This window comes from Homo sapiens, chromosome 2 (assembly GCF_000001405.40).
Source record: "Homo sapiens chromosome 2, GRCh38.p14 Primary Assembly".
In the NCBI taxonomy this organism is placed as follows: domain Eukaryota; kingdom Metazoa; phylum Chordata; class Mammalia; order Primates; family Hominidae; genus Homo; species Homo sapiens.
The window spans coordinates 168431420-168456775 of NC_000002.12; the positions used below are offsets into that span (position 1 = coordinate 168431420).

A 25356-nucleotide genomic window follows, 5' to 3' on the forward strand; every position below is an offset into this window, starting at 1 on the left:
ACTCTATTCTCACAACCATAACATCTTGGGTTAATATTGATTGAAAATTCAATGGCACCTTTCAAATGCTGATGAGAGGGGTTTTAAAACTATCAACTCTCAGGCTCCTGGGAACTCAGTTTCTCTCTAAGCTTTATTGGGTGTAAAAAGCATATAGTGAGGCAATCCACACTCTGCTCTAAATGGCCATGTGAGGGAAGAAAGCTTTGCTTTATCTCTCTGAATACTTAGAAGGATTTAAATATAAATTAGCACAAGATTTGAAAAAGAGAAAAGAAGTACCATCATACTCTATTTTTTCAGTTACCAATCATCAAATTACAGTTGGTGAACTTTTGGGCAGTGTGAGCTACTTGGCCTGATGGTGAGAACACAAAAAGACTCCCCAGGACAAGGTGTCCTCAGCCAGCTCATGTGCAGATTGCAGATGGAGCCTCAGTGCCCAGACAACAGTGCCTAAAGGCTTTCTTACTGGTTTCAGGCCTCCTCTTGAATGACAGTCATTCTGAGGATGACATTTTAGGGTTAGAATGCTCCTTGACTTTAAAAAACAAACAAACAAACTGAACCTTATCATATTTTACTAGTGGTCCTTGGCTGGTGACAATCTTCGTACTACATGTTTTTGCTGGAAATCAAAGTGCGTTAGTCAAATGCCCTTTCAAAACCCTATTATCTCAGCATGCAAAGCCAGCATCTGAGGATTTTCCACATTGAATCGACCGGTGTGTACTAAAAGATGTATGTATAGAAAAGGGGAGCTATGGTTTTAAAGAAGACTGAGTTTTCATCATTTTGAAACTGTATAAATTAACATGAGTTTCAAATCAACAGTCTGCAATTTTGATTTTATCAACTCAAGAATCCTTGACAGAAGATCTATGGGAGTGACATAAAATGTTCTGGAGATTTTAATCAAGATGAGATAATGCATATAAAAGTGAACAGTGAAGTCCCACAAAAAGTATTTTAGGATATGTTACTAATTTTCGTAGTCTCCAGGGCAATGTTTAATACAAATTTGCAAACAATACAATAAATATACTCTGAAGCTGGATTCTCATAGTTTAACAGCTGCTCATTGCAAAAAAGAAAAAACTGAAAATAATGGGCAACTTTTTAGAACATTCATTAATAACTTTTCTTTTAAAAAATGGATTTTACCTGTTTTATTTTGAGTCAACCAGATATAATCTGAGTGACCAAAAGGAATAGTTGACCAAAAAGAATAGTATTTTTTTTCCAAATATGTCACCTTTATATGCTGGAAATATTTGCTCAAGATGTGATTCAACTGTCTGCCACACTGGAGAGCTTTAAAGAATCCTTTTACATTGAAGTGTCAATTATTTCTCTGTTCTTTTCAGGCAGCTGAGTACCCTCTCATCATTGTCAGTTCATCTCATTTTCATTTTTTAAATGCTAACCAAGAAAGTGGCCGGGTGCTTTGTCTCTGTCTCCTTGTTTTCACAGCCCCCAGTGCAGTCTTTCTTTTTTGTCCTTGTCAGTTTCATAACTTTGACCTCAAGGATGTTTTTCAGCCCACAGAGCAACTTGCAGCTTCCCGGGCTCTGCTGTGCAAAAATGCTTTTCGTTTTGTGAGAACTACCTGTGCCTTGATGTGGTAGAGATACTTCTCTTCTAGAAATTCAGCATGGCACAATAACTTGTTTTCTTGACTTTCACACTGACTCAGGCATTTATTAGGCATAGTACTCTAGCAATGTTGGGAAATACATAGAAGAGTTCCCCCATTTCTTGAGAAACGTACATAAAATAAGATGGAAATAACACGTGCTGAATGCTATAGAACTGCTCCATCCAATAGAATAATTGCCAGTTAATTGGTTATTGAGCATTTGAAATGAGGTCTGAATTGAGATGCACCATTAATTGTAAAATACACATTGGATTTCAAAGATTTACTGAAAAAAATGCAAAGCATCTCAATTTTAAAATACTGATTACATGTTAATGTGATAATATTTTGGATATGTTGGGTTAAGTAATAAGCATATATTAAAATTAATTTCACCTGTTTCATTTTACTTTTTTTGCGTGGCTACTAGAAATTCAAAATTGCATCTTTGGCTCACATTATTTCTATTAGGCAGCATTGTTATAGAAGTTTAGAGAGGAGTGGGGGAGTATGTCCTGTATATGTGGTAGGGCAGACACAGAGAGGCATGGTGGACAGAAAGCCATCTGAGAGGAGGTGACACTGGAGCTAAGCATTGAATGGTGGCAGCCTCTAGACACACAGAGTGGAGAAGGGATCTCAGCCAGCAGCAGAGAGGCAATGCTGTGTAGTGGGCAAGGCAGGCTTTGGATGACATCTCAACTCTTATGATAAATTAGTACAGTGCCTAGAACAAGAAAAAGCACTTAATAAGCGGTATCTAATTTTACTAGGATGTGAACGTCAGCAAGGTTAAAGGATGATTTAAGGGATGTTAAAATGACATCTAACCTAAAAGTCATTTCCTTAGCTACCATGCCAGAGACACCACCACCAAAGCCTTTCCTCTCCTTTCACATCACTGCTTATAAAATAATGGCTTATAATCTGAATGAATCCCAGATTCTACACAGTACATATTCATAAGCAGAGGAAAAAAACTATACTTCCCAATTGATTTTCATTGTCCTTGTTCCATAAGTGACTTTCTAACATTTGATAACCTTTTTTTTTGCATGTGGAAATAAAAGGTTAGAAGTAAAAATGGACCATTATCTTTCCTTTTCTGATTGAAATCCTTAATCACTGTGAACCTCCCCAAAATATTCAATGGTCCACATGTATCCACATCAAAATTATGGATGGCTCTGGAAACTAGACCAAACTCTGAGGATGACAGAGTGGCAATTACCAAGTGACACAAGACAAGCTTGGCATATGGCCAAGTTCCCTGGCATTTGGCCAAGTTCCCATTAAAGCCATATGGATTTACAGAAGGGCTTTATGGCATGCTGATATCTTACTGAAATATTCCAGGAAACTAATATTAGATCAGCACGATAGGTTACTTGGAGGGTAACTGACTGGAGAGATCATTATAATTTCATACAGAAGTGAGCTTCTGTTAAAGACTGGTGCATGCCACCGGATGGTGGGCTAAGAGTTGTGAGGCCCCCAGACATGATAGTGGCCCCAAACAAATATATTCTCTCTTCTATCCTGAGGTTCTGGTTACAGGAGCTTTAAGATGACCTTTTCTAAAGGAGTGAAAACAAAGTCTACACATGACTGTTGATTCAAGCACAAACCCCACAGGCAACTATCTACTAACTTGGTTTCTCTTCCATTTCAACTTCTCTTTTCCCCAGTTATCTGTTAAGAGAGCCAGAAAAGGGTATATATTGACAGCCCCCATTCACCTCCAAGTTTTACCTTTAGTAGCTGCCTTTATAATAATAATAATATCTAACATTACTGAGCACTTACATATACTATTTGTTCAATCCTCATAATACCACCATGCATTAGATATGGTTTAATTTATTAAATTATTTACTAAATATAAATTTATTTATTACTTTATTAGCTCTTACGGCTTCTGTGAGTCAGGAATTCAGATGAAACATAAGAAGTATAATTTATCTCTGCCCCATGAGGTCTGGCTCAGCTGGAGAACTTGAAGACTGCAAAGTTCTGAAGGCTCATTCACTCACGTCTGGTGGTTGACGCTGGCTATCAGCTATGGGTCTAGGTGGGGATATCAGTTGGAACACCCACATGTGGCCTCTCCATGTGGCCTGGGCTTCCTCACACCATAGTGACTGGGTTTCAATGGCAAATGTGTGTGAGTGTGTGTGTGTGTGTGTGAGAGAGAGAGAGAGAGAGAAAGTACCACGCAGAAGCCCTGGCTGGAAGTCATCACTTCTGCCACATCCTTTTATTGAGCCAGTTTCAAAGTTCAGCCCAGATTCAAGGGAAAGGAATACAGACCCCATCTCTTGATGAAGGAATATCAACATCAGTTCATGAGACTAGCATGTGGCACGAAATATATATTGGTGCAGCTGTCTTTTGGAAAATATAAACTGCCACACACTTGTGTTTTATAGATGAAACACCAGAGGCTTAAAGAGTATAAATAAATTGCTTGTGATTATGCAACTGGTAAAAAGAAAAGCCAAGATAGGAATCTACTGGTTTCCAGAATCCATGCTTTAAAAAAAAATCAGTGTTATACTATATCCCACCCCAAATTCTTTCCAGCTTTAAATTTTTAAAGAAATGATAAATTTAAAATAATAGATTTCAGTTTCTATTATAGAAAGTATGCCACAGACTTCATAAACCTGGAGTGGGGGTGGTAATACAAGATCACGATTATTTTAATGTCCAAATTACAAGAGCTGAAACCTCTAATAATTCAAGTCCTTGATCTTACTGTTTTCCCTAAAATTTCTTTCTCACTATTTCTATAGCTCCTAAAGAGGTGTGTCTTATGTGCCTACAAACCTATCTGTCCTTTGCGAGACAGATACCCTGACTTTGTTTCCTCTGCCAATGGTGGGACTTCTGAGATCATCAGTGACAAGGGAGCTGGGTCTTCTCGCTACAGGAGCAGCTGGGGGAGCCAGAGGAGAACTGGTTTTGCACAAAGATAGGAACAAAGACACACATACCAACTCTAAACCACACTTTGTCTTGTCACCTAGGCAGAGAAGTAGCATTGCCTTTCCCAGAGAATGACAGGGTCCATGGAAGCTGATCCTTCCATTTCATTTCCACGTCATTCTCATTTCCTTTCACTGATGCTAATTTCTGTCTTTTTTTTAAAAAAAAAAAAAAAAAAAAAAAAAAAAGCAGCTGCCGGATGCGGCGGCTCACGCCTGTAATCCCAGCACTTTGGGAGGCCGAAGTGGGCAGATCATGAGGTTGGAAGATCGAGACCATCCTGGCTAACACGGTGAAACCCTGTCTCTAATAAAAATACAAAAAACTAGCCAGGCATGGTGGCGGGTGCCTGTAGTCCCAGGTACTCAGGAGGCTGAGGCAGGAGAATGGCGTGAACCCGGGAGGCGGAGCTTTCAGTGAGCTGAGATCATGCCACTGCACTCCAGCCTGGGCGACAGAGCAAGACTCTGTTTCAAAAAAAAAAAAAAAAAACGCAAATGAATCCACCCCATCCTATCCTTATGCTATCTAGGACAGGCCATAATTCAGCCTGGGTGTCCAAACTTACTTCTACAAGGGTTAGGAAGACTTATGTTTTTCCTTTCCACCAAAAAACTGCAACAAAGTCTACAGGGAAAGCTCAGCTCATAACACAAGAACTTATGTACCAAACATAACCTCTGACTTCCAGGGTTAAACACGGGTCTTCTGGTTATAGGTGACCTCACTTTGCTGCCAAAACAATGGGTGCACGTTTCCTTTTCATTTGGATGTCTCAAAGAACAGTGAGGTAGTTTTCCCTAAACAAAAGAGGAGTTAACTCAAAAACAAATTCTCTTTTTGTACACTGCTCAAAGCTGTGAAAAAAAAGTTTTCCCAGGCTTCTTTCTACTTTAGTGAGATAACAAGGCCACAGCTTCAGAACTCTTTGCAAGAAGAAAAATTCTTGCTAAGATGTAGCTCAAATATGGGAGCCCAGCTGTGGGGGAGGTAGCAGAAGACTCTACATTCCACAGCTGGCCTTTCCCTCATGGGATTAGGATACTACTAGTAATAGTAGTGATAGTAATAATGAGGAGGAGGAGAAGGAGGAGGGGAAAAGGGAGAAGGAGAAGGTGCAGGAGGAGAGAAGTAACATGCATTGAATTCTTTCTAAGTGCTGAACACAGTGCTAAATGCTTTCATCTAGTTTCAACAGCTAGATGAGGTAGATACCGTTAGGCATGTGTATGAAAAGATGCCGTTTTTTTCAGATAAGGAAACTCAGGTTTAAAGATGTTGACAGTTGAGAGTTGTCCAAGTCCACACAGCTTGTAAGACGTGAAGTTGGGATTTATTAATAGACCCAATTTATTAATAGACCCTATTTATTAATAGACTCCTGAACTCTTCTATAGTTTATATCAACTGTCTCCAGCTTCAAATTAGCTGTTAGCTGTTGTTTTCCTAAGAAATCCAATTAGTCCAAACTTTATTAAACACTCACTGTGTGCACAAATCCACACTAGGACCTGGGATGATAGAAATGGAATAAGATCCTGTTCCTGCTTGAGGAAGCCAGCGGTTCAATAGAGAAGACAACATGCATGGTAGGGAGGGCTCTTAGGGTTCTCTGGGATCACCAAGTAGGGAGGGATTACTTCTAACCCTGATGTGATCTAGGGGAAATTCTAGAATGTGGTTTTTGCAATGGAAATAACTTATAAATACAATTTTGATAGGTAGAAAAGAAAAAAGGGAAAGACATTCTAAACGGAGAAATCATATTAAGAAAAAAGAAGACAAATGGTCTGTTAAAATGCATGGTATGGAGAGAAGAAGGTTGAATTGTCAGGAGATGGATAGAAAGTTAGGTGGTTTGGGTGAGAGCCTCAAAAGATGGATCAGGAAAGAGAGAAGGGAAGCCAGTTGTGGTGGGCCCCGCTTGTCCAAAAGGAGTTTGGATTTGTCCTGTGGACAGGGAGAGCCATTCAGAGGCTTTTGTGCAGAGGAGTGGCAGAATTATCTAGGTGTTTTCAATACCACGTAGCTCCTGTAACCCCTCTAGTGGACAGGATTTTTGGATCCACCTTGCATACTTCCAAGCTGGTTGGGGCACCCCAAAGGGAGGGCCAGACTCATCTTTCACCTCCAGTGCTCTATTTTGTTTCCTTGGGTTGGATTTTTAGTGGCATTGGCTTTCATGTGGCTCTCACGTTACTTAGGTATACTCCAACGGTGGGGAAAAAGGCTGAGATCTGTGCTTACATTCTCAACCAGAGGCCAGATGGTGACCACTGGCAGCCATTCTCAGGGAAGGCAAAGGTTTCCAAGAGGGGAGAAAGTATGTGGGAGAAGAGCAAATCCACTACAGTCCTGAAAGTGACCGGGGAGAGGGAAGGGCGCGGAGAAGGGTTATTTCACAGTTATAGCCTTTTCCTGGCCTCTTCAATTACATTTGCTTATCTTTGTATTTTTAGCTTTATACAATTGAAATAATTTCTCTTTATGGAAAGCCTAAGACATGACATTTTTCCAAATGATTTGTTATTCTTTTTTGATACTGTAGAGGTCTTCTTCACTGAGATCTATGAAGAGACTCATCCTTGTTAAGTAGCCTTTGTGAGAATGGTCTGGAGTCCAGAAAAGTAATCGCTGCAATGCCCATATAATCTCTACCTTGGCTAACCTTGTAAAGCCTGAGCAGACGCCTCTGTCTGTGCTGCCGACTAGATTAGAGTAGGTGGAATCAGATATTGCGAGAAAATAAAGCAGGCTTTCTACCTCAGTGAAAATTTCTCTTTTCAAACTGACAACAGCCTATAAACTGTCTAATTCCATGTGGGCTGCCATGCTTACCCTCAGGCGCTGAGTAGCTCTGGTGTGCAGCTTAAAAGTTAGTCCACCGGTCAAAACAGTTACTGGTTGACTGCTGAATTAGGGGGGTTATAGAAGGCATAGAAAACCATATCCTCATGTTTAAGTAAGTTAAGAGGTAATACCTACATGCAAACCTATGCAAACTGTTCACCAAGCCTGTAGAAGAAACACTTTGACATTGTTTGGAAGAAGAGAGTAACTGGAGTGCAACTATGACTTCTGTACATTAGGAGGCAGGTCGGCCCAGGGGCCAGGGTAGACACCTGCACAGGGCATTTGGCCTAGACTTCCTAAGCGTACCACGTGCCTCAGGTGTAGACATTTGACCCTACCAATGTAGGTCAAAATGGAATGGGTCCTAGAACTCCCGAGAGTCACTGACAGCTCTAGAGGGAGAAGACATTCCTTATCAGCCTGAAGTGTATGTGCTAGTCTATACTACCCATTGTGCTCTATAATTCATGTGTTTTAAATAGATTTCATAATTGTCTGATGATGGCACAATTATATTGCATTGTGTTTGTGTGTGTGAATGTTAATTAGGAAGTTTCTAAAATGGCCAGCTTGTAATTCTGTAGAGCCATTTTGTTATTATTTATTTTAATATACCAGGAGCCTCAAAGAATTAAAGTATGTTATCAGCAGCAAATCTGTACAGGTCTGCAGCAACCTCTATTCTTGCCTCCTCAGAAGAAAGAATTTAACTGAGGGGTGTAAGGCAGAAGGAGAGAACAAGGCAAGTTTTAGAGCAGGAGTGAAAGTTTATTTAAAAAATTAGAGCAGGAATGAAAGGAAGTACATTTGGAAGACAGCCAAGCTGGTGACTGGAGAGATCAAGTGTGCAGTTTGACTTTTGACTTGAGGTTTTATATGTTGGCATGTTTCCGGGGTCTTGCATTCCTTTTCCTGTGATTCTTTCCTTGAGGTGGGCTATCCGCGTGTGCAGTGGCTTGCTAGCACTTGGGAGAGGAGCATGTGCAGTGCTGGAGTTGTACACATCCTCACTTGAGGTGTTCTTCCCCTACCAGCCAAATGTCCCTAGAAGGTCAAATGCCAGTTAAACTCTACCATTTTGCCTCTTAATCGGCATGCTTGAGCTCTCTGGCCCAACTCCGGAGATCTTATTGGGAAGCTGCTGATCACCAGTTTCGGGTTTTTTCTATCTATTAGGAGATTGCCTTTCCCTGGCACTGGCTGCAACCAATTATTATTTTAGAGAAACAGTGTAACAGCCACCTGACCATCACCTGATAGTTGCCTGACATTCCTGGTGGTGGTGGGGAGCGTTCTCTTGCCCTGCTCATGCCTGACTAGGTACCTACAAATGCAGCCTCACTTGACCTCCCTGCACTCTGAATATAAGGAAGTTATGGAGCATCCTCAACTTGTCTACTCAGTCCCAGCCATAGAGGAAAACACCTCCAGGTTTGGAAAACTGGCGTGCATTAACATGAATTATATGTGTGTCAGTACTTAAGCTTGCCCATTTTAGGTCCTGCTGACTGAGCTGTCCATCTTTCCCTGAAGCAGTCTATAGCATTTTCTTTTCTTTTTTTAGTAATAAAAATTTTAAATATTTTATTAAAGAGACAGGTCTTGCTATGTTTTCCAGGATGTAGTGCAGTAGCTATTCACAGGCACAGTCCCACTGCTGATCAGCCGGTGTATTAGTCCATTCCTGCACTGCTATAAAGACATACCTGAGACTGGGTAATTTATAAAGAAAAGAGGTTAATTGGCTCATGGTTCTGCAGGTTGTACAGTTTTCTCCTTCTGGGAGGGCCTCAAGAAACTTACAATCATGGTGCAAGGTGAAGGGGAAGCAAGCATATCTTACATGGCAGGAACAGGAGGAAGATAGACAGGAGAAGGTGCTACACAGTTTTAAACAACAAGATTTTATGAGAACTCTATCATGAGACAGCACTAGGGGAATGATGGTAAACCATTAGAAACTGCCCCTATGATTCAATCACCTCCCACCAGGCCCCGCCTCCAACACTGGGGATTACAATTTGACATGAGATTTTGGTGGGAATTCAGAGCCAAACCATATCAGCAGAGGAGTTTTGACCTGCTCTATTTCCAGCCTGGGCCAGTTCACCCGTCCTCTGGCAACCTGGTGGTCCCCCATTCCAGGGAGTTTACCATATTGGAAGCAAGCTTAATGCAGACACCTGATCAGCATAGCACCCTGATCAGCATAGCACCCTACATCCCAGGACTCCTGGGCTCAACTAATCCCCCTGCCTTGGCCTCCTGAGTAGCTGGGATTACAGTTGCATACCACCAAACCCAGCTTTGTAGAATTGTCCTTCTTAAAGCATTTAAGGGGTAGTCTATGAGCACTCGTTAAATCTACCAAAAATGAGAAGGTTCTGTGTGGAGACAGCACACATGAGGGTTGAGCTGAGAAGATTCCAGCCTAGGAAAATGAGTAACACTGCAAGTGTTGTTAGCTAATCCTGCCACATGCTCAACTTCGACTACACTTTGACTGATTCTGGCCCAACTCACCTAAGATGGCCAGTTTTAGTGCGAAAGTTTGCCTGTGTACGTGTGACTTTGGGTCCACACACAGTTATTCTGATTAAATACCTGAGGCCCGTGTTGCCTACACAGGATATCCAGCCACTGTCCTAGCTCAGCTTCCAGAATAAATCTTTATTGATTGTTAGAAAAAAGTAAGTTTGACATAAAAAACCTCCCAATAACCCTGCATTTCACTCGTTTAACAATGATTAACTGAACAGCCCCAGCTGCCAAGGGCTGCCCAAGGCATGGGGTAGAACAGTGACCAGGACAGGCCCTGCTGTCCCCAAGCCCACATGCTGTGGTGGGAAGACAAGAACAAACAAGTAAATAACTAAACCCACAAGAAGATTTCAGATGGCCATGAGCTATGTGAAGAAAATAACATGGGGTAATTTGATAGATTAGGTAGCAACTTTAGATTATATGGTCAGAGTTTGCCGCCAGAGGAAGTGATGTTTGAGCCCATGACTTGTACCTACATTTAGAGCTGAACATTTAGAGCTTTTTATTGTGTCCCATAACTATATAGAGCTCCCTGATGCAAGAATTCCAGAAGAAACAATAGTTACCTGGGTAATACTCAAGTCTCTTACTTAAGATAAATACTCTCATATATGCTTAATTATCTCTGAGTCCAACCAATATCCTCCGAGAATGTTTGATTTTTTCTTCTGTGGACAGGGCAGGCTACTTGCTTGTGGGGAAGTGTCAGGGTTGGCTGGCTGCTCCTGCTGGTTGGAGATTAGTTAGAATTGCCTGGTGTTAATTACAACTTTTTCCTTCCCTTCATTTTTATTGCTATAAAGACCTTTTTTTCTGGAAGGTTCTTTTATTTGAGGTATGATGAGATCAATGAAACCGATTTTGCAAACCACCAGTGGAGATTTGTCTCACTGTTTTATTGTGACATCTAAAGTCCTTTTCTCTTTTGCCACTGCCCTGTAGTCAATAAGTGGAAGAAATACTTTCAAAGTGGCTGCTGACTTAGTATCAATGTGTGGCCCACTGGTACTTAAAGATGCAGGGCATTTCCAAGCTTTCCATAAGGGAATAATTAAACCACCGCAGGTAACAAAGAATTAATTTTGAAGTATATTAAGCACCCTTAATTAGCACATTTGAGTTTCGTTTCCCCACAGGGAAAATATTCTCATGGTAACTTGCCATGTCAGAGCTTCTAAAACTTCTCCCTAAACTTATGGCTGAAGCCAGTTTTACTATGCAAATAAGGACTGCAAAAACCTTTTAAGCCAAATCATTCATAAGCATTTAAGAAGCTCCGGGGCCTCTGGATTTTGTTAATAATTCTGTGGCAATCACTGGGGAAGTCTTCTGAATATATAGCTGGTAAATTCAGAGTGCCTAAACCTAATAACCCACATCTGTGCAGAGTTTTGAAAGCTTGTTTTTTTCCCCAAATCCTGATTATGCTGTATTTTAATGGCATTTTAAAGTTTAAGTGAAATTAGAGATCATAAAAATGCCAGACAAATAGATACATCTCAGCTTAGACACATCCATCACATGGAGTTGATCGTTTACAACATCACATGCAATTAGGGCAGCACAAGGTATTATAGTTTATGGGTCTCAGATTCAATTAAATGAGATCAATTAATCCTTTGGCATATTTACGATATGATTCTCCTATTAAAGTATCTATGCTACATTGAATTTAATTTAACAATGAAAGTGGGCTAATCTGTTTGGCTATTATGTAGATTAATATATTTTTTAATTTTAGGGGAAGACTTTAAAAATTATATGTGCTTTTCAAATATGAGCACGTAGAGATTACTTTCATATGTGTTAATGATTGCCAGCTAATGATTATTTTAGACTTAGAAATGAACATTTGCCTAAGATGCACTTCTGAAGGCAACATTAATGATGAACAATTACTGCAAGGGAAAGTTACCTTTGAGATTCTACTCTCTTGGATCCACACGAGAATGAGCTTGAACTCTATCAACCATTGAGGGAAAGGAAGAATATAGTCTTTTGATTTAGCATCACTGGTTCTCAGACTGTGCAGAGTGATTTCTGCTGTTGAACTTCTCATGATTAAAAATAGCACAGAAATGTTCAAAGTGCAAGGAAGGGAAGCTGGCAAGTAACAGGTACTGCCAATACAACTATATGGCCTGAACCCTTTAATTTTTTTCCCCCACTGAGATCCTGTAGGCAGCTAAGAATGTATGATAGGGCCTTTTGGATGCTTTAGGACTTGATGTAGGATAAAGAAAAAAGTGACTTATTTCTTTGGCTTTTAAAATTTCTCTAAGTTTTGAGCATGCTTCTGTCTGAGAGTAACTGCCTCCTGCTTTGTCTTTTCTTTCTCCATGTTTTCGTTTCATCTTTGTTTCATCTGCCCTCTAAGAGAGGAGAAACATAGGACAGAAGATGTCCTAAAGTATTAGTGCATTGCCCAGTTTGTGTTATTGGAGATTTGTGTTACTGGAAATTTTTGGGTAGCAGCAGAACAGGGCAGAAAAGGGCAAGAGGCTAGGCCATGTGTGCAATGCCAAGAAGTGTGATACCATGGGGATCTAGGCTTATAAGCAAACCTGCCACTAGGTAGAGACAGTAGGCAATAAAGGTTCTGGAATGCCAGGGTAAGCCTTTGGTATGATTATACAAGCAATCAGAGGGCAAGAGGCAGACATATGTAAGGCAAGATGGTTTAAGCATGAAACAGTAGACAGTGCCCTGATGAAGACATCTTAGAAATGGGGATACTTCTGCCTCAGCTACATATCTTTTCATAGAATTTTGGTTGGACTATACAATCTAAAACAGCAGGCACTGTGTCTCTTTTGCTCAGTATTATATGTTTAACTCTTGGCATTGAGCTTCATAAATATTTGTTGAATGAATGAATGAATTCTGAGACTGAAGTCCATCCTAGCACTGCAGCCCAGGATCTGTAGGTGAAACACAACTCCTCCTCCTCTTCCTCTGCATCTTCCTTTTTCCTCCTCCTTCTCATCATCAAAATGACTGAAGCCACTTTTTACTGAACACTGATCACGTACCAGATGTTACACTATGTGCTTTACGTTCATTATCTTATTTGAAACTTACAACAATTCTACCGGGTAGGTGCTGTTTTCTTTGAACCTCTTTAATAGGGATTGAGGCATAGAGATTTTCACCTACCAATGGTCACATAACTAGTGACTAGGGGCCCTTACTCCAAACACAGGCATTTGACTTGAGAACCCATGCTTTCAACTGTTAAATTATACTGTGTTCTCTGTTAGCCACAGCACCAAGATACGAATCCATTTAAATTGAGATTTCTCAGTAGCTGTTTTGAATATCCATGTCCCACTTTGAAGTTAGACCTGGCCTTGTTAATTGCTTTGGCCAATAAAATGTGAACAGGAGAAGCAATGTCACTTATGGGTAGAAGCTTTAAGCACCAGTACATGATTTATCATGCTTCTTGTTTCTATAATGGTAATCATGAAAGTGCATCCTGAGATGATAGAGTTTTTGCCACCCTGAATCTCTGATTGATTAAAATGAGACCCCTGATGATCTACACTGGACATGTAGTATGAATGAGAAATAACCTTTTCATGCATCAAGCCAGAGAAAGTTTGTTTTTTTCAATTCTGTGGCATAGCAGTGCTTATTCTGATATAGATGTTCCTCATTTTTGCCCCCTTCAAATAATCTAAATTTGTTCCAGAGATGCCTACTCAAGGACATTAGTCATTCTCTAAGGATATAAATGTGTGTTGAAAGAATTTGTTTAAAATTACTCAAAGATCCCATATGAACTTACAAATTAAGTCATTATATGATGCTATTACATAAGGGTATAAAATAATCTTAAAATATAATTTTAATCTCATTAAAATAATCCATTTTGGTTACCTTCAAATGATAGATCAATAATAGTTTAATAGTATTTCTTTGTACTGCTTCCTGTATCTCCTTTTTTATTGTATTTTCTTGCATGCTTTTATTTTTCTTTTAGGCTCTTAATCTCCTCCCTTTTGAGATGGTTAATGAAAAGTCTCCGAGGATGAGAAAAGCATCCCTAGAATAAAATTGCTGAACAGGATCAACTTCAAAAGCATGCAGATTAAAATTTCCACATCATGGGCACATGAAAAAGGAAATTATTAGGGTACATGTCTTCCTCCCAACAGAAGGAGTTCCAGATTCTGTTTGGTATTCCTGCCCTCCTTTCCATGGTGTTTTTTTTTTTTTTTTTTTTTTGAGACGGAGTCTCACTCTGTCGCCCAGACTGGAGTGCAGTGGCATGATCTCGGCTCACTGCAAACTCCGCCTCCTGGGTTCACGCCATTCTCCTGCCTTAGCCTCCGGAGTAGCTGGGACTACAGGTGCCCGCCACCACGCCTGGCTAATTTTTTGTATTTTTTAGTAGAGACGGGGTTTCACTGTGTTAGCCAGGATGCTCTCGATCTCCTGACCTTGTGATCCACCTGCCTTGGCCTCCCAAAGTGCTGGGACTACAGGCATGAGCCACTGTGCCCGGCCTCCATGGTGTTTTACATTAACTCCAAAATATTAAAGGGAACTTAGTTGACGTCTATTTCCAAGTCACTTTTACAAAGGAATACCTCTTCCCCTACATGTCTAACAGTTAAACCTCTACCTCAACACTTCACATGACAGGACATTTACTGGTTGATGTAGCTGCTGACTCATTTTTGGCCAGCTTTGCACATTTCTTCTATGAAGATAAAATTAGCCTTTTAGTTACATCAGCAAATTGTCCTAAAGTCTGCCCTCTCCACCTATAGAGACTAGGTAAAATTGCACCCCCCAAGAGACCTTACAATATTGGAACACACATATCAGGTCTCCCAAGAATCTTTTATTCTCTAGTTTCTTCCACGGTTCCCAGGATAACTGGAATACAGCTGTCCCTGTGGATCCCACCTATTCCTTACACATGGCTCAAATTCAGTTTCTTGGTCTCCTGAGATTCAAAATCCAGCTCTATAATTTTTCTAATTTTCTTCAGGTTACATTCTCTTAATTTGCTTGTTTGTATAAACTGCCAATATCAAAACCCAGTCTCTTTACAGGTTTCCACAAAATGACACTGGATCTAAGCAGTTTGTGTTTAAGATGTTTATAGTAGCTTTGTGGCAAAAACATCCTGAGGAATCGCACAGTAGATGCATGGGCTTCTGAAACCTCCCTCCATCCCCTTATCTCTCCCTTCCTTACTTCGTTCCTCACTTTCTCTGCCCAGTAAAAGCTAATTCTATTCATCTCAGAAATAACAGTCACTCATTCCCAGATTTAAAAGGCTCAGCCTACCTTAAAGGCAGATTATTTCAACAAAGTCTGGGTCTTCTTTTCCTAAAACAATGAAATGTTCACCAATTTGTTACAATACATAATAACAATAACTTCCTCCTTTTAAATGTTAAACATGTTACATTATCTCATTTAATCTTACTTTAAGCCCAGGTGGTAACAATATGATTCCCTAGGTTTCAAGAGCTGGAGTAGTTTTTATAAGGAAAAATACATTACTACTGGCAAAATCCGGCCCTTAAACCTACATTTTCTTTTTAACTCCAAAGTTGGTACTCTTAACATGGTTACTAAACATCTCCTCAGGATTTCCATATCCCTCACCATTGTGATTGTTATTCATTGGATAAATTCCATTCAAACAAAAAGTGTTCCTTTAAAAATGTGGCCTCCTAAATGAATATAGTCTTTAGCCATGAACACAAGGAAGTAACTGAAGTTTGCAAACACTGGCCAATAGATAAAAAGAAGGAAGAAGAAACGAGAATTTGAATCCCTGTAAAATCTTCAGTTCATGAATATTTTCTTTTACCTGGCCTGTTTAATTTATTTTGTTTCCTGTCTGGCTCCTGAAGTCATCTGAGTTTGCAATCCCTACTTTTAAATAACATGGCACATTCTTGGCTTCCAAGGATTTGATAGTTACAGTTATAATCCTTCCCGAGCAACCCAATAGGTCTATGACTTACGGTAACTTCTAACCTTGCTGTGGAATGAATATGAATTGCCTGTCCTCTAAAACTACTGATTGGCATAAAGTAATTCAGCAAATGAGTGCACCTAGAAAACTACCCAGCTTCTACATATGACATGACCTTTCTATTCTCTATTTGTCTTTACATTTTTTATTCTATACAGAAAACTATATGCTATAAGGTCATTCATGTTCTGTAGAATTCATGAAGATCTTAAAACTTCAGAAGTTTCCACTTTTCTCTGAATCAACACTGCTGATTGATGATTTCTATGATGCCTATCTGTTAAAAAATTTTTCAAGACTGGGAGCAGTGGCTCACACCTGTAATCCCAGCACTTTGGGAGGCCAAGGCAGGCATATTACCTGAGGTCAGGAGTTTGAGACCAGCCTGGACAACATGGTGAAACCCCATTCTACTAACAATGCAAAAATTAGCTGGGCATGGTGGCAGGCACTTGTAACCCCAACTACTTGGGAGGCTGAGGCAGGAGAACTGCTTGAACCTGGGAGGCAGAGATTGCATTGAGCCAAGATTCCATCATTGCAAAAAACAACAACAACAACAACAACAACAAAAAACAAAAAAACCAAACCAAAAAACATTCAAGTATAACTGACCAAAAATAGCACAAAATTCATCCGAACTCACTAGGCAAATGGTTGATAATTCTGCAGGCAAGTTAGGCTTTTGTTGTTGTTGTTGTTCAGAGGCAAGGATTCCCTGGGTGACATGGAGTATAACTCAGAGATATTTCTAATGTCTTCATGTAGGAGTGATTAGTCAAATACATAGTGCTGTGATTTGTTCAAGGTGATGATACCAGACGTGAATCCTGTCGTTGAATTCTAGATCCATCTATCCAACACAAAAATACTATTCCTATTTTATAATTTGAAAACTAAGATGATTTTGCTGGGCTTTGCAAGATCATTGTCTTTATTAACAGATTTTCTCATAGTCATAGGTGTGAAAAATAGAATGGGTCATTCTGTGAGGTAGTGAGCTTCTTGCCATCAGAGATGTTTAGTCATAGCTCAGATGATCACAAAAGATGAATTGTACTCATTGGTATATGAGGTCCCTTCCAGTCCTGAAATTCTTTTTCTATATAAAGTCAATAATTTCAAGCAATATTTCAGGTTATTTACTCTTCCCATAAATTGGCCAGATAATTGCTTTTCTGTTTCTCTTTGATTATAAAAACCTTTGCATAATGGAAAGTAGAACTTAGGCATTCTGGCTCATAAATCTAAATGTGTCCCCAAAAGTTTGTGTGTTGGAAATTTGATTGCCATTGTGGCAATATTAAGAGATGGACCTTTAAGAGATGAACAGGCCATGAGGGCTCTGCCCTCAACTGGATTAATGCTGTTGTCTTGGGCATGGATTAGTTATTGCCAAAAGTGGATTCGTGATTTTAAAAAGGGGTAAGTTCAGCCCCATTCATCTCTCTCTGTCTTCATATGTGCTTGCTTGTCATGTGATCCCTTCTGCCATGCGATGACCCTCACCAGATGCCAGTGCCATGCTCTTGGATTTCCTAGCTTCCAGAACCATGAGCCAAATAAACTTCTTTTCTTGATAAATTACCCAGTCTTTGGTATTATGTTATAGCAGCAGGAAACAGAAAAAGACACCTGCCCCCTAAATGCTATTTACCTATATGTATATGCAGAGAATGCCATCATTGCTGATTATGTCTAGCAGGTGGTTGAACATATGCATAAAGTTACAGATATATAACTAGGTGAATTTAATCTCTAACTGGATAGCCCACAGTCAGATCAACCTAGCTGTTTCTCACTTTTCTTTGGTAGTCTTGCAACACATTTGGCCTGGTTAAAATTTTAATGTGATTCTAACACAACATTAGTAGGTTGAAGAAAGTTGCAAGGGGAACATTAACATTTAAATAGATTTTGATTATTAGAGAGAAGTCAGAAAATCTAGCCAGAGATTTGGTTTAGTTAGAAATACCAGAGTAATTGATGGCTGTCAGTATTAGAAAAGATTTTCCAGAGGTAGAAACTGTCAAGATAAAGGAGGGAGGAGAAAGATCTTCAACATCTGACATGGTTGTATGAAAGAATGCGAGCATAGGAGGGAGCAAGTCCTGCTGGAGAACTTCCAGCAATAACATGTACTCAATTCCCGTCTGGGTTACAGACCTTAACTCAGCCTAACTCCAATGCTGTGAGTTAAATACTCATTTCCTTATGTTAAGATGGCAGGAGAGGCTGCGTTTTCTGCACTGCTATCAGTGATCTTCATATTGTGGGGCTAAATCCTCCTTATTTCTTGCCCAAACTAGTCCTCCCCACCTCCCACTCAATATTGTATAAATGAAAACTCAAGAGATTAGTACATGGACCACAAAAATGAGTGTAGATTTAAGACAGTTTTGCCAACCACAGCAAGGAGGTTTTACACTTATGAAAAACAACTGTACAAATAAAATTTAGCAATATTTCCATATTATTCTCAGTGACAACCAGGTTCCTTTAAAATCAATGAATTGTGTGTTTAAACTGAGTGCTTACCTTTAGTATTTTCCTGGTGTTTTAAGCAACAAATAACTTTTATTTGTATATATTTTTAAAACCTACAATAGTTGAGTGTGTATTATGTACCAGGCATCATGCTTATTGCTATGATCAGAGATAAAATACAGTTCTCACTAAATAAACAGAAGTATTCCTTTGCCTCATCCTAAAGGCCATTTTTAATCTGGAGTGCCAGCAATGTTTTGTTTATTGTCCTTCAGCAAATCTTCCTCACTTTCTACCTTTGATCATGCCTTTTCAAATCTTACTTATTCTTTAAAGTCTGATTCATTTTTGTGTCTTCCTTGAAGTTCCCTTGATCTCTTCAAAACAGAATGTCTCCTTCCTCCTTTGAGCAGGAAGCGCTTCTTGTCTGCAGTATTTGCACACTTGTCACATACTGTTGAGGGCCATCTTCAGTGGTGTTGGCATGTATTGTTATCTAGCTTTTCATGTGAGCACATCCTGCTCCCCAAATAGCTTTTATGTTCTTTTTGTAGAACAAGTACTATATAGATTTGTGTTATGCAACCCATAGTGGAAATTCATCCAAACTGCTGGCTGATCTCCTGCATCTAAAAAGTGGAGACTGCAGCTGGGCGCGGTGGTTCACGCCTGTAATCCTAGCACTTTGGGAGGCCGAGGCGGGCAGATCACGAGGTCAGGAGTTTGAGACCAGCCTGACTAACATGGTGAAACCCTGTCTCTACTAAAAATACAAAAATTAGCCAGGTGTGGTGGCACGTGCCTGTAATCCCAGCTATTCAGGAGGCTGAGGCAGGAGAACCACCTGGGAGGTGGAGGTTGCAGTAAGCCGAGATTGCGCCACTGCACTCCAGCCTGGGCAGAGCGAGATTCTGTCTCAAAACAAAACAAAACAAAACAAACAAAAAAAAGTGGAGACTGCTTACAATGTGAACTCAAATTAAGACCTGGGTGTGGACCTGAGAATGAGAGATAAAGCTCAGCTTTGTTGATATTTTCCAGTTGCTTGGAAATCAGGGTGTATTCTCAGGTGATGTTTTCTATTCAGAAAACAAAGCATGCTTTCCTAATATGCAGTGTAACTGGTGTCACTTCCCCTGAACACATTTTTTTTTCTCCCCTTTTCTCTTGCCTTGTCCCTTTACCGACCAGCTACTTACTTTCTCACTGGGCTACATATTAGTCTGATGCATAAATTGTATTTTGGTTTCCTGGGGCACCAATTAGAAGTCTTTCCTGTACATTTACAAAGTAGCTTTCTTGAGAGGTATGCTGTGCTATCCCCCTCCTGTGACTAACTTCCCTGGGGCCTCAGCTGAGCTCAGGATAGCGTTAAAGACATGTACTCTTGCTGTGCACAGTGGTATGCACCTGTGGTCCAGCTATTTGGGAAGGAGGCTGAGGCAGGAGGACTGCCTGAGCCCAGGAGTTCTGGGCTATAGTGCACTATGCCAAATGGGTGTCTGCACTAAGTTCAGAATCAATATGGTGACCTCCCAGGAGCAGGGGATTACCAGGTTGCCTAAGGAGGGGTGAACTGACCCAGACTGGAAACTGATCAGGTCAAAGCTCCCATGCTCATCAGTAGTGGGACTGCACTCCAGCCTAGGCAACATAGTGAGACCCCATCTCTTAAAAAAAAAGACATGTGCTCTTAGAGTAATGTCTTGGATAGTGGGATTTTTTTGCAAACTGAAATAGCAGCAACTCAACCCAAAAGCAGAATTTATCAAGCTATGAGGCTGTTTCACAGAACCTAAGGATGAGAAGGTAGTTGGCCCCTAGGTATTAAATGGAACCTGGAGCTCCAATGCCAACAGGACTCCCTGTGTGTCTCTTACCTTTAACTCTGCAGGTCTTAACTCTACAGGTCTGCTTTATTTTTTTTCTCTTGTTGTAGACTAGCTTCTGCTTTTTCTAGCTGTGTAATGAAGCAAGGGGGCCAACAGCTTCTGAGTTGGAATCCTTGAATCTAAGCATCCAGAGAAAGACAGTCTTGACCCGACTCACAACACCGGAGTAAGGCTTTTATTGCCATGTTAGGCCAATTGTCCATCCCTGGATCAATAAAATGTGATCATATTTGGAATGATAGTTTACTCTAATATGTTTCTGGGGTAAACGTTTAGATGCAAAGTGGTAGGAAGGGGCATTGGCTGGAGGAGTTCTACTAGACAGATGAGGAGTAGGTGTTTGCTGAACTGTACATGGGTATAGAGAAGAATAGTTTACAAGCCCTTTCTCATATGTTATCTTATGTGAGCCTCATGACAGTCAGTGACAGAGGCAAGACAGGTACTGTTGATGCACAAATCACACAGGAGGGTATTAACACGCTCTTAGAAACAAAGGAACTTATGGAAGATTCATAGAAAGTACTAAATCCTCCTTTTACTGTCCAACAAAACTCACCCTTCAAAATGTTCCTGAAATCCCACCACCTTCTCAAAGTTGATGAATGGGAGAGCCACATTATCTTAGTTTAGCTCCTATTAGTTTAGCTTCTAAGTTCCAGGGAAGTGTAGTTTCAGGGAAGCAGGAATGAGAGAAAAGGAGAGTGAGATGAGAAAGAGGAGAGGAAATATAAGGGGGTGAATTACTGAGTGGGTCACAATCTTGAAATAAAATGATGAGTTTATATCAGGGGGTGAGTTACTGAGTGGGTCACAATCTTGAAATAAAATGATGGGTTTGTAGCAGGGGGTATTTTCAGAGAGGCTGTTTGAAGCCATTGTGTGTGTCCGAGGGGTGGGGAGGAAAGGAATAAAAATGTACTTACTGTCTTCATTGCCCATGATCAAAGTCAGATCCCAGGGCATTAACTCACCAACAGTATTATACATGCTTGGGGACATAGAAGGAGCTGCTGGAGAGCACAGAAGCCATGGAGTAGGAAGCAAGGTACTATCAGGTCATACAGGAAGGAGTGACATGAGAAACCAGGGGTAGTCACAGAAGAAGTCTGGCTGGCCCAGAAGGCCAGGCTCTGACATGTCATGACATGTCATGACATGACTTTCGGACACAAAGTTGGTGAGAGGTCTTAACAAACCTCTGTCTATGGCCTACGAGAATGCAGCTGGTGCCAAGGCATGTTCCAGTGTTACTGAGAAGCTCACCACATGGTCTAGAGTGGTGATGGCGACTTCTACTCCCAAATGAAGACTCACTTCAATGACACCTCACCTCCCTCACCCCAGAATTGACCAATTCCTTCTTTATGCCCACACTATTCTACACACGAGTCTAACATGGATATATAAATATTTAACACAATTATTCAGATTTTTTTTCTTCTCCTTGAGAAGACTTTTTGGGGTTGGAGTAATGTTGATTCATTTATTCAGTAGTTTATTGAGTATCTACAATGTGCCGGGCAGTTTTTTTTTTTAAGTGCTAGGAATAGAACAGTTGATAAAATAAATACAAATCTTTTAACTTTCTGAAGCTTACATTTTAGTGCATGTCTGTGTGGATGATTGATGAAGATATAGGTACAATATATCTTGTGTTGACGGTGGTAAGTGTCTTGGAGAAAAACAAAGCAAGATAGGAAGAGTGGTGGTGGGGATTGAGGGATGTAGATTAACTAGGGTGGCCAGGGAAGGCTTCAGGGAGAAAATGACATCAGTACAGAGCAAACATGGATGTTCGTGTAAAAAGAGTTCCAGGGACAGAGAAGAGCAAGCACAAAGGCTCTAAGACATAGCTGGTGTGTCCCAGTAAGGGCAGGGTGGCCAGTGTGGACTCAGGCAGAGTGAAGGAGAGAGAAGAGTAAATAAGTCAGAGTTAATACGGAACCAAATATCACAGGTCATTGGAATAATTTGGCTTTCACTTGGGAGGGATGAGGAAGAAGCAGGGTTTTCACCCCAGGGGTGATCTGACAAATTTGCATAGGATCACACTGGCTGAGAATAGACTGTAGAGGGGCAAAGGGTGAAACTGGGAGTTGGGAGGTTACTGGAGTAATGTGAATTAGAAGTATTGGTTGTTTGGACCAAGATGGTAGCAGGGGAGGTGGTGAGAGATGGTGAGATTATGGTTTTAAAATGGTGCTGATGGGATTTGGGATGGATTGGAAAGGAGGTATGAGAGAAAGAGAGAAGGGGAAAAAATGACTCCACATTTTTGGCTTGAGCCAAGACTACAGGAGGAAGAGATTTCAAGGGGAAGATTAATAGTTTGGTCATGAGATAGCTTTTAGACATCTGAGTGGTGGTGTTAAATTGCCAGTGGATTTAAGAGTCAGAAGGTCAGGAAAAAGTTCATGGCTAGAGATATAAATATGGGAGCTATTAGCATGACATTGGAGGGCATACAGATGTCATTAAAAGCCACGAGACTGGATAAAATCACCAAATGAATACATTCAGATAGAAAAGTGAAGAGGAAAAAAGACTGACTCCTAGGCCACTATAACTTCTAGGGGTTAGAAAAGTGAGGAGTAACCAGGAAGGAGACTGAGAAGAAATGGCCATGAAGGAGGAAGAAACCCAGAAGAGTGAGGTTTCTGGAAGCCAAGTCAAGAATGTTTTAAGACACACGACCTGACAACTGGGCCAAATGCTACTGACAGAGGTGTTGTGAACTGCTATGAACTGAATGTGTGTGTCCCCCAAAATTCATATGCTGAAATCCTAGTTCCCAATGTGATAGTATTCAGAGACAGAGTCTTTGGGAGGTAATTAGCTAATGAGGGTAGAACCTTCATGAATGGGATTAGTGCCCTTATAAGAAGATAGGGCACTAATCTGTGTTTCCTCTTTCTGTGCTCTCTGCCATGTGAGGATACACAAGAAAACAGCTGTTTTCAAACCAGGAAGAGGATCCTTGCCAGACACTGGATCTGCCTGCATGTTGATCTTGGACTTCCCTGCCTCCAGAACCGTGAGGAATAAATTCTGCTGTTTAAGCCACCTAGTCTAAGCAGCCTGGACTAAGATAAGAACTGACCTTTGTGTTTAGCAGCATGAAGATCACAGGTGACCTTGGGCAGTTTCAATGCAGCAGAGGAGACAAATGTCCAAATGGAAGTTCAAAAGAAAATGAGGGGAGAGAAATTGGAAGCACCAGTATAGGCCATTCTTCAGTTTCACTTTCAAGAGATAGAGTGGAAAGAGGGGAGGGAAGAGTAAAAGAAACTCCCTCTCTCTGTGTGTGTGTGTGTGTGTGTGTGTGCGGTTATATGCCCACTGGAAAGGTTTAGTATAGCCTACTGGCAGCACCAGGCAGAAAATGAATGTGAGAAAAATGAACAAAAATGCCCCAGAACCATGTATACATGGGCCATGGAATGAATTCACACATGGCTCCTGTATCAATGGGGAAATGCATTGCGGGAGGGAAGGTGCCTGGGTTAGGCCTCACAGGCCTAATGCCTTAAAGGTTTTAGATTCAAAAGGCAGAAATAATGAGCCTGCCGAGTAGCACAGTGGAGGTTCTCATGATGTGCCAGGTCAAAATGTGGTCTAGCAGCCTTTTCAGAGAGGTTAGTTGAGAGGGGTGGTTTTACAGAACGCTGCAGTTGCTATCATCATCATCATCATCATCATCATCGTCATCAAGTAGCAATTAATAATCAAATAGCAATTAAGTGCCTAATTTTTTGTACCACCTCATAAATCAATATAGGGGGGCTTGTTCCCTGGGGGAGCTACTTTGATGAGAAGCAGCAGTATAAAAGACCGGAAAGTCAAAGATTGGGGAAAGGCAGGCGTGGGGCAGAGGCAGAAGGCTCTTGCCAAACCATCCTGCCTCAGTTCCTGATTTTTCACCCTGCCTCTCCAAGCGCGGGAGTGGAGGATCCTTTCCCTCCCACTTCCTCCTTTGCTCTTTACCCCTCCCCCTCCCCCCCCCTTTTTTTTTTTTTGCTGTCCTCCTGGAGCAGGGCTGGTTCTGAAGCTTGGCGGCAGCCCCTACCTGCTGACCCACCGCCTCCGGGCGCACGGGAAGAGGACTGAGAGCCCTGAAACCCCAGCGGGGCAGGAGCCAGCATTCTGAGCATGTGCGAGCCAGCCAGGGGGCTAGGGCGGATTTGGGGGGTCGACTTTAGGTCGTCGCCCTAAGCGCAAAGCGAAAGAGCGGTGAGAGCAGGGGCGGGCGACACTCCCCGGAGCGGTGCCCCTGCGCCCAGGGCGCAGCGACTGCGCCCTGCCCTGCGGGTGTGGGCGAGTTGGCCGCGTGTGTGCCTCGCTGTTTGACGCGAAGACGAGCCAATCAGGGCGGGCGGCCCGAGCTGCCATGTGACGGGCAAGGCGGCCCCTTTCCCCAGCGCGGCCAGAGGGAGGAGAGAACCGGGGCTCGCCGCGAGCCTTCGAGAGCAGCGGCCGCGGAGGAGGCGGCGGCGGCGGGCGGGAGCAGCGGCGGCGGCGGCACAGGCTCGGGGCCAGCCGGGCGCGCATCCCCGGGCGCCCTGCGCGGTGGAGAGCTTGGCGGGCTGCGGGTGCCGCAGGACAGGAGTGGACAAAGCAAGATGGCAGGGATCTTAGCCTGGTTCTGGAACGAGAGGTTTTGGCTCCCGCACAATGTCACCTGGGCGGACCTGAAGAACACGGAGGAGGCCACCTTCCCGCAGGCTGAGGACCTCTATCTCGCTTTTCCCCTGGCCTTCTGTATCTTCATGGTGCGGCTCATCTTCGAGAGGTAAGAAGGGCTGAAGCCCCTCCTCCCCTCCCCCTGCGCACACACACGCGCGCACACACTCGCGCGCTCTCTGGCGCACGCCCCCGCGCCCCCAACGCTCGCGTTCACGCCTCCCAACCTTTGTGTTCGGGGAGGGGTTGCTGACCCCCCTGCCCCG

The 25356-nt window shown here is 41.8% G+C and overlaps 1 protein-coding gene, 1 long non-coding RNA gene and 1 pseudogene across 6 annotated transcripts in view, besides 5 other annotated features; 2 read left to right on the forward strand and 1 right to left on the reverse strand.

The window, feature by feature from the left end:
• Positions 1-25356, reverse strand: part of LOC102724081 (uncharacterized) — a 59691-nt gene that overhangs the window by 8989 nt on the left and 25346 nt on the right. The window lies entirely within an intron of this gene.
• Positions 1431-1490: an enhancer, noted in NCBI's record as "active region_16731". NCBI's record gives its function as "activates an Ori minimal core promoter by ATAC-STARR-seq in GM12878 lymphoblastoid cells {active_cell/tissue: GM12878}" and the evidence as "EXISTENCE:reporter gene assay evidence [ECO:0000049][PMID:35858748]".
• Positions 1521-1610: an enhancer, noted in NCBI's record as "active region_16732". NCBI's record gives its function as "activates an Ori minimal core promoter by ATAC-STARR-seq in GM12878 lymphoblastoid cells {active_cell/tissue: GM12878}" and the evidence as "EXISTENCE:reporter gene assay evidence [ECO:0000049][PMID:35858748]".
• Positions 19905-20187, forward strand: RN7SL813P (RNA, 7SL, cytoplasmic 813, pseudogene; annotated as a pseudogene).
• Positions 24445-24664: a silencer, noted in NCBI's record as "silent region_12077". NCBI's record gives its function as "represses an Ori minimal core promoter by ATAC-STARR-seq in GM12878 lymphoblastoid cells {active_cell/tissue: GM12878}" and the evidence as "EXISTENCE:reporter gene assay evidence [ECO:0000049][PMID:35858748]".
• Positions 24695-24784: a silencer, noted in NCBI's record as "silent region_12078". NCBI's record gives its function as "represses an Ori minimal core promoter by ATAC-STARR-seq in GM12878 lymphoblastoid cells {active_cell/tissue: GM12878}" and the evidence as "EXISTENCE:reporter gene assay evidence [ECO:0000049][PMID:35858748]".
• Positions 24853-25356, forward strand: part of CERS6 (ceramide synthase 6) — a 318863-nt gene continuing 318359 nt past the window's right edge. For both annotated transcript variants that reach the window (NM_001256126.2, NM_203463.3), the window contains exon 1: positions 24853-25199. In NM_001256126.2, the coding sequence (NP_001243055.1) occupies positions 25030-25199 (170 nt within the window). In that variant the 5' untranslated portion in view covers positions 24853-25029. The remainder of the gene's footprint in view (positions 25200-25356) is intronic.
• Positions 24905-25034: a silencer, noted in NCBI's record as "silent region_12079". NCBI's record gives its function as "represses an Ori minimal core promoter by ATAC-STARR-seq in GM12878 lymphoblastoid cells {active_cell/tissue: GM12878}" and the evidence as "EXISTENCE:reporter gene assay evidence [ECO:0000049][PMID:35858748]".